Raw genomic sequence first — 9708 nt, forward strand, 5'->3', positions numbered from 1 at the left:
CCTGACCACATTGTGAAACCCTGCCTCTACTACAAAAATTAGTCAGGCATGATGGCATGCGCTTGTAATCCCAGCTACTCAGGAGGCTGAGGCAGGAGAATCACTTGAACCCAGGAGGCAGAGGTTGCACTGAGCCGAGATCATGCCACTGCCCTCCAGCCTGGGCGACAGAGTGAGACTCCATCTCAAAAAAAAAAAAAAAAAAGAAGACTGTTCAGAGCAATATTACTCATGAGGGGAAAAAAACTAGAAACAGCCTAAATTCTCATCAATTTGAGAATGAATAAATAAATTGTTGATCATTAAAATGATGAAATATTGCACAGTACTAAAAATACCAAATATACATACTTCAATCACGATAAATTGTAGAAATGTAAAATTGAGAGAAAAATTTCACAGAAGGCTGCATACAATTTTCTACTGTTTTTATAAACATAAAATAAATAAAACATATTTTAAGTACGCATATATATATTTATATGTCATAAAATGATAAAGAATCTTGAGGCCATGATAAAAACATCAGCTTGGCCACCTGCTCTTCAGAAGAGGGAGGAGGGTCGGCTCAGGAAATTGTATGGAGTGCTTATGTAGTATTGGTAATACTCTGTTTATTGTGTTTTGTAATGGGTTCTGTTTTATTCTTTCCAAGTTGCATATGTGAAATACATATATACAATATTTATTATAATATTATGTATTAAGCATTTTTATTTGAATAATTTTAAACATCTCCAAAATAATCATTTTGTCCCTTTTAAACATTGTAATAGTAAATTACAGTTGGCATGGCTATATTTGTTTAAGGTCTAATAAAATTTTTTTAAAAATCAAATTTGTCATTAACAGGTTACTCAGTAAGATATCATATAATTTTGAAAATAATTTGGCCGGCCATGGTGGCTCACGCCTGTAATACCAGCACTTTGGGAAGCCAAGGCGGCGGATGGATCCCGAGGTCGGGAGATTGAGACCATCCTGGCTAACGCAGGGAAACCCCGTCTCTACCAAAAATACAAAAAATTAGCCGGGCGTGGTGGTGGACGCCTGTAGTCCCAGCTACCCCGGACGCTGAGGCAGGAGAATGGCGTGAACCCAGGACGTGGAGCTTGCAGTGAGCCGAGATCGCGCCACTGCACTCTAGCCTGAGTGACAGAGTGAGGCTCAGTCTCAAAAAAAAAAAAAAAAAAAAATTAAATAAAATAATTTCGATGAATATAATTTTGATCAAAATTAAGTTGCCAAAAATAACATTCAACTTCATCTTTATAGATGAAAGACTTTGAATTTAGGGTGGGATTCAAAAGTGGTAAGTAGTAAAAATAATTTTAGGTGAAAATAATATAAGTTGATAATTAAAAATACCATATCGTTGCACAGAGACTAGTTGTCTTTGCCAAGAACATCAGTTAACTATCAGATAAAGCTAAAATTCTTGTCCTTGTGATTTAGTGATTTTACAGGCAATGCTTATTGATTGAATAATAGTTAGCAGGTTAAATGTTTATTATTTCTGACTTTCTAATAATTATAAAATCAGTTGTATATGGTGCATAATACTGGAAGGGAAAGCCATAAATACTAAATAATATACATATCTAACTGGCATTTCTATCTCTACTTGAGGTAAAAAGTATTAACGTGTTCAATAATATTTCTGTATTCCATTAAGAAATCATGATACATATGTACTTCTCCAAAGGATTAAAAATCAATTCCCGTGTAGAAAGGATCCTGTGATAATTGGGATTGAATTGCAAAGAATATCCTTATGATTTTATCTTGAAAGATTTTTCTACAAGAGTAGTGGTGTGCACTTTTATTAGTTTAATTACCTTGAAATCTTAAAGACAGAAGAATTTTTAAAGTTAGTCAAAATATGGGAGTTAAATATATTCATTATTTTTCAATTCTTCTTAAGGAGGTATGAAGGACAATTCAGAAATAAATATTTATAATGAGGATTGGCTTAAGAATGCTTGACCTCAGAAAAGCACTTCCATTATCCTTTAAGAAAAGTGTCTACATTTCAAGATTAGATACTCTGATTAATTTAACATTTAATTTACAATATTGGGGAGTATATTTCCTAAGGAATTGATGAAAGAAGTTTCATTATTTCTTACAATTTTTTTATATTTTTGCATGTTTCTTAGTGTTTGTAGTCTCTAAAATGTACTCTTCAACATTGATATTTCTTGAACATTCTACCCTATTTTTCATCTATTTTTAATTTTCTCTGTTTTTCATTAGATTCATTTTGCCTTACCCTCTTCATTTTATCTTCCTTCTCTAAAATGCTAAAATAAAGAAAGGGAGAAACAGCTTTGTTGGGGCCATCTCTGCTATTTTATTTTCGATGGCAGGCATTATATCTTAGTGGAAATTGTGCAGTCTTTGATAAAACATACATCCGCTTACGGAATTGGATATGTTTTATACAAATTTCAACTTCAACTTCTTCATCTGTAAAACAGGGTAAATAATATCGAATTTGAGTTATTAAGGCAATAGAAAGAATATATTTAAAGCTCCTAGAACATATTCAATATTCAGTTAGTGGTAGCTATTATTGATTATATTATTGGTCTTGGTATCACTAAGGAGTATAGGAGATAAAATATATTATTAAATGTAGAATTAGAAGTTAGAGGTAAAAAAATGAGTGATATTCAGCATTGAGAGATTTTTATAATTTGGTAGTGATAGTGATAGGAAGCAGAGAAATTCCTGGGCAGACAGGGACAGGTGCCTGGTGAAACTCAACCTTCAAGCCAAGGAGAGTCTAAAGTGTACACAAAACTACCAATCCTGGATAGAGTCCGTGGACCAGGGTGGGAACTTCCATTTCCATTTGGTGCAATCAGCCCCTCATTGGTTCTGGGCTAAGACTTCACTTCAGCTCTCTATTGATTCTTTACACTCTTGTACCTCTTTCTGAATGGTGCTTTTTCCAAGCCTACCCACAAACCAATCAGCATACATTTCCCCTTTCTAAGCCCATAAAAACCACCTCGCAGCCAACAACTGACTTTCAAGTTCCCTGTTGCTCCTGAGAGCTTTCTTTCTGTCACTCAATAAAATTCTCCTCTGCCTTACTCACTCTCCAGTGTCTGCACACCTCATTCCTCTTGGTCGTGAGACAAGAACTCAGAACTTGCTGAAATGCAGAAGTGAAAGAGCAGTATCACTCCATCCTGCTGAACTACGGGAGTGAAGAAGCCACAGTAGGACTTTACTAGAAGTGAGGATTGGAGAACAGAATCTTTCCAAAAGGTAAGATTACCAGTGTCTCATTCTTAGAGAAGTTTTTAAATGAAACTACCTGATCTTGAAGCAAGAACATAGACTGAGTTGAACAACAGGGAAGATCAGTTGTGAAATCTCATACACTGCTGGGGCACCCAGACTCAATGCTGGTGCGCAGTGTCTGGTGATCATGAAGCATATGTGTTGGGTTAGAAGAGAAACTAGCAGTTGGAGTCATTGACTATTAATGTAATTTCTGTTTTCAGAAAGTATTTCAGAACTGAGTCAGTTTCAGAAGCCCATCATTAATCCAATCCGGGAAGAAGAGAACAGAAACATTAAAAGGAAGACCGGTTCTAACTTAAATCCATGAAACCATAACTAATTTCTTATTTCAATTAAGATTTCTTAACAAAGGTTTTTGCATTTACATCTACCTGAATTTAATCTACATAAACTTCAAATTTCACCCTCCAACTGGTTGAAACATACATGTACTAAATTTAGTATTATCCTAAATAAGAACAAGTGTTTCTAAAGGCACAAGTTATTTATAGTGTATCCTTCTACCAACTACTCTGATAGAAAAGGAGATTGGAGGAGTTAATTATGTTTCATAAAAATAAAACATCCTAGTTCATAATATTTCACATGCATCTACAGGAGAGTGAGACCTGTCTTTGAGAATAGAAAAGATTATGATATTATTTCCATAATTATTTTCTAAATAAACTAAAGCTAAGATATACAAATTTAGAGAATACAAATTTTGACAGCACTTTCAAATTTTAGAGACATAAAATTATACAGATATGTTTTGAGACGTAATTAAACATACTGTTAAATACAAATTATGATCACCATGTAAACATAAAAAGCACTAACAGAAATAATGCAAAAAATATAAAAATCTAGATACTAACATAATTTAGTAACTGAATGACCTTGAAAAGTAGAATAGTCATTAATTTAGACTAACTTGAATGATAGCTTTTTCTCCAATTACAAAGCCAATACATACACATTGAATAGAAAGATAGTAACAAAATTCAAAAGATATGCTGTTTTTTTCCTACTAATAGTTTTATTCCTATATTTTTAAATTTTATTTGCAATTTACAGTTGTGGATATATAATTGTTGTATGTACTTATGGGGTACATGTGACATTTTGATACAAGCATACCATGTGTAATGACCAAATTATGGTAACTGGGATATCTATCACCTCAAGCAGTTATTATTTCTTTGTGTTAGAAACATTCCAACTCCATTATTTTAGTTATTTTGAAAGACACAATAAATTATTGTTAACTCTTAGTTTCCCTATTGTGCTACTGAACAGTGGGTCTTATCACTTTTAGCTGTATTTTTGTACCCATTAACGAACCCCTCTCTGCCTCCCCCCACAACAGTACCCGTCTAAGCCTCTGGTAACCATTATTCTACTCTTTGTCTCTAAAAGTACAATTTTTTTAAAGTGTATGTTACATGAAATAAGCCAGGCACAGATAGACAAATATTACATATTCTCTCTAATATACGGGAACCAAAAATTATTTGTTTTTTAAGTTAACAGTGAAATATTTCAGAATGCAAATAGGTTTTGAGGAAAGTATTACTATACCCCAAGTGCCTCTGTGAAGCTGAAGAAACAAATCTAACAAAAATGATTGAAGTCTTTTTTCTCCTCTCCCAAATCTCTCTCCTTCTCCCACATAGTTAAACACTAAACAGAATTTGGTTTTCATTGTTTATGTGCCTTTTCTATACTTTTGCTGTGTAGTATTATATGGTTATGCTAAAACTATTCTTTTGCAACCTATTTTTTATGCTTAACATTGTGTTTGAGATTTATCCAAGTCAACTTTTTTATTCTAGATTCTTTATTTCAACTGTTGTATCACATTTTATTTATATAAATATACTACAATTTATCTATGCAAATATTAATTTGAATCTCTTTTTATTTAAAATTTCAATTTAAAATGTTAATAGGAATTCTTCACAAATAGCACTGTAATGGTTATTTAACATTTAACAACGTGAACATAATATAAGATGCCTAATGAGTCTCCATTATTAGATATTTGGGTTAACGTACTCTCTCCACTTCTCCCAAGAATTTAGAATATTATATAGTGCATAATAGATGCTTAGTAAAAACATTTATTTTCAAAGAATAACTTTCTAGGTTTTCATTGTTATAATTAATAATTCAAATAAATTATACGTTACTTTTCATGTGATTATCTGACAATTTTTATGCTATATTAGAGAGAAGGTTGTTGTAGGAAAAAATATACAATTATGTAATTTTCTTTCCTGTTCTTACACTTTAGAGGTAGAATTTGGGAATTACATCAGCTCTGCTTAGCCCAAAACTTTGGAAAAGAGAAATTGGCTGCTGACTGTTGGCCTACCTCATCCTTTAACAAATGCTTGATAAACAACCTTTGCTCAAAGGTGTCACTCTGTCACTCTGAAGAGCACGTGTAAGATTAAATTTCCATTGGAAAAGATGAAAGCTCTTTGCCACATTTACAGTGGGCTCAGATCTTTCTATTTTAGCAGGAAAAAAAACAAGTGCCAAACTATGCTGACTTTTAAAAAATTAATCAAATGATGTTCAAATCTAATTTGTAAGAACACTTCCCTTCTCCCATGGGGCTTAATAAAAACACTTTTATTTTCTCCTAGGGTGGTGGGAGGGGTTGTTGTAAATAATTACTTTTATTTATCCTGAATTGATTCTTGTAAGGAATAAAAGTCACTTCCAAAGGAAAGAGTTAAGAGCCATTATTGCCCAGATGAGCCCAACATCTTACAATGTGGACAATTTTCAAGCACGAATTACCAATGTGAATTTGCCTGGAGCAACCTGCATCTCTCTCTCTGCGGTCCCCACCCCTCATATTTATTTCTTACAATAAGTGAGAGCTGGCTGAGTGTAGCAGATATCTAGGCAAAGTAAGATAACTCAAATGAATAAAATGTTTGTCTATTGTCAGTGTTCTGTTAACCATTTTAACTAACTTTCATCCTAGCCTTTATCTTATTTGACCTTAGGACACTGTGACCTCATTGGATTCCTTCTCTATTTTTTCATATATAAAAAGAATAAGTTGAATATTTTCTATACTTGATTATTACAATTCCATCTTTGTCAAGTAGACCTTGAAATGACCCCAGTAATTCCCAACTTCTGGTGTTCACTTCCTGCATTATCTTCTCCCTTTGAATGTTAATTGTTTCTCATCAATGAGATACGGTAAAGATGAAGAAATTTTGGAGATGTAATTAAGATCCCAATTAAGTTGCTTTTGAGTTAATCAAAAGGGAGATTAATCTAGGTGGGTCTGGTTTTACTGATAAAAGAACTCAAAGCGAAAATGGATCATCCCTGAAGTAAGAGTTTCTCTCCCTCTCTCTATCCCTTTCTCTCTCTCTCTATTGCTAGTTTTGAAGAAGCTTCCATGTTGTGAGAGAGCATATGGAGGGGGCCACGTGGCAAGGAACTGTAGTGGCCACTGAGTACTGAGAGTGCTGAGTGCTGAACATAGAACCTCAGGGCAACAGTTGCAAAGACATGAATTCCACCAACAACATGAAGGCCTTGGAAATGGATTATTCTCTAGTCCAGGCTCTGATCACCACAGCCCCAGCCAACACCTGAATTTGAGCCTTGTGAGACCCTGGAGTAGAGAACTTAGCTAGGATATGCCTGACTTCTGCCCTACAGAAACAAAGACATAATAAATGTGTGCTATTTTAAGCTTCAAGTTTGTGATGATTTACTACACAGTATAGAAAACTAATACAATATTACTTTTCTTTCTGCAACATATGTTTCCATTAGTCTAACTTCCATCTTGATTCAACAGATATTTTTTGAATTCTTATGCCAAGTGCTGTTAAGAATTTATCTCACAATCACATAGGTCAGTAAATAGCAGCGACCAGATGGGAGTTCAGGCCCTTTTAGTCATTGCTCAGTGATCATTCCCTTACAATAAACATCTGTGGATGCACTAATCCAAATATCAAGTGTGTGATTGCCACAAATATTTGAGTTATAAGATGTTAGAAATGTTTAATATATATATGCAAAATTTGGAACTGTATTGATACTTATGGAATGTTATGCTAGGAAAAGAGGTTAAGTGAGCCATTCTTTTTGTAAATAGTCATCAATATTTACAGAATACCTATGTTCAATTTTTGTTTTGCCTGAAGGTCAAAAAAGAAGTGAGGATCATATGGGAAATATACCTTCTTAAGAAAAAAGACTATGATCTCCATTCACAAAACTACTAATATATCTATGAGCTCTGCTTCATAATATTTCTGGATTTTATAATTAAACTTTCCTATGAATTTTCTAGGTTATTTTTGTGAATTTTCTGAGATATATTTCAAATTTTGACAGGGAAGCTTAAATAAGTTGGTTTTTCAGTCAAAATTATTATAATACAGCTAGAAAATAATTTGAACTATATTAATGGAGCTGCAATAAAATTAATTGAAAATTTTATGGACAATAAAAGCATAAGTGGAAATTTAAAACTAGATTTTGTTTTAATATAATAGCTTTTTAGAAATCTATAATGTTATAATAAAATATTGTAAAATGAATGATTTGGACACAATTTCCTACTTGATAGGATCCAAAACTTGTGTGGAGTTGAATAAAAAAGTACATTATAGATTTCCTTTGCTTTAATTTCATTGAGAACTACATTGTAGACTGCAATAAAACAGAGGTCAGATTCAGAGAAAATTGCATTTTACTAGTGGTAGCAGCAAAAATATGAACCAGAATTTACTACAGTTTTATGAGTTTTTATTAATATCAGTGATAGCACTGAGAAACAATGATACTAATTGAATTACTTATTTTTGCTATACTTGAAGTTTTATAATAAATGAGATTATTCCAGGAGTTTAAGTTTTTATTTATTTCGCTGAAGATACTAAAATCTGTTTCATTAATTAATAAATTAGCCTATATGTTCTGTTATTAATGATGTTGGTAGCTGAAATATTTTGTTTATTAATGGATATATCTTTTATAATGACTTCTGCAAAACAAAGCAAATGCATCGCTTATGTTCCATTTTCACCATGTAGATTGCATTGTAATTTAATATCAGCATTGCTATAAAAACTTAATTGGTCACAAGACCTGAGTAAACTGGAAAATAATGGCATTTTCACCAGGATGTTTTTGAGACTGTTCTAATATAGTGAAAGCAAGCAAAAATTGAAGTAAAACTGTCAATCAGTAGGTTTCTTTTTTTTTTTTTTTTTTTTTTTGAGAGGGAGTCTCGCTCTGTCGCCCAGGCTGGAGTGCAGTGGCGCAGTCTCGGCTCACTGCAAGCTCCGCCTCCCGGGTTCACGCCATTCTCCTGCCTCAGCCTCCCGAGTAGCTGGGATTACAGGCGCCCGCCACCACGCCCGGCTAATTTTTTGTATTTTTAGTAGAGACCGGGTTTCACATGTTAGCCAGGATGGTCTCGATCTCCTGACCTCGTGATCCGCCTGCCTTGGCCTCCCAAAGTGCTGGGATTACAGGCGTGAGCCACCGCGCCTGGCCAGTCAGTAGTTTTCTTTAAAATGCCTTTGCTGAATGACTTTATAAATGGAGTGAACTAGGTTTCAACAACTTTTGTTTCTCTAACAGCATGTAATGTTTTATCATTATCATGTTGTAGTTGATGTTTTTGGGATAAAAATTCCACATATTTTTAGAATTAAGTGTATGTATCTTAAATCTTGTAATTATTTTGAGAATAGGAGACAAAAAAATTGAAGAAATTCTATCACTAATAATAGTGAGCAAAACTGGTAAGCTTATACAAAGAAGATCATTTGTTATGCAATAGACAATTTTTTATTTTTTTTTAGTTGCTTGCTATTTTTTTCCCATCTGTAAGCCTTCTTGAGGTCAGAAGGATAGTTTATTGCTCTTTATCTTTTTGGCAATTAGGGAACTATCTGACTTGAATTTTGATTAGAATTGAACCAGGTTTTCTGTTTTTGTTTTATAGGAGACAAGTTCTTGCTCTATTGCCCAGGCTGGAGTACAGTGGTATGATCATAGTTCACTGTAACCCTAAACCCTAAAAATTTTTAAATTTTTAAAATGCATGGCTAAGTTTCTAATTTTTTGTACAGATGAGGTCCTGCTATTTGTCCCAGGCTTGCCTTTAACTCTTTGTCTCAAGTAATCCTCCCACCTAGGCCACCCAAAGTGCTGGGAATATAGGTCTGAGCCATTGCTCCCAGCCTAAACTGGGTTGTTAATAAAATTCCTGAAAAAAAATGAATCAAATTTTCATCAGGACAGTGAAATTAACATATTTATCATAATCTTTGCCAAATTAAAAATAATAGGACTTATATTGGGGGCCAAGGTCATCTACTTTATAGTGCTTGAGTATTTTTTGTGCTTATG

The 9708-nt window shown here is 33.4% G+C and overlaps 1 long non-coding RNA gene across 1 annotated transcript; it reads left to right on the forward strand.

Annotated features, from left to right (window-relative positions):
- Nucleotides 1–1224: 1224 nt before the first annotated feature.
- Nucleotides 1225–6763, forward strand: LOC107985490 (uncharacterized). Its single transcript, XR_001755097.1, has 3 exons — nt 1225–1312; nt 3114–3279; nt 6712–6763. It is a non-coding gene; the product is annotated as an uncharacterized LOC107985490 (long non-coding RNA).
- The last annotated feature ends 2945 nt before the right edge of the window (nt 6764–9708 follow it).

The sequence above is a fragment of the Homo sapiens genome, chromosome 21 (assembly GCF_000001405.40).
Source record: "Homo sapiens chromosome 21, GRCh38.p14 Primary Assembly".
In the NCBI taxonomy this organism is placed as follows: Eukaryota; Metazoa; Chordata; class Mammalia; order Primates; family Hominidae; genus Homo; species Homo sapiens.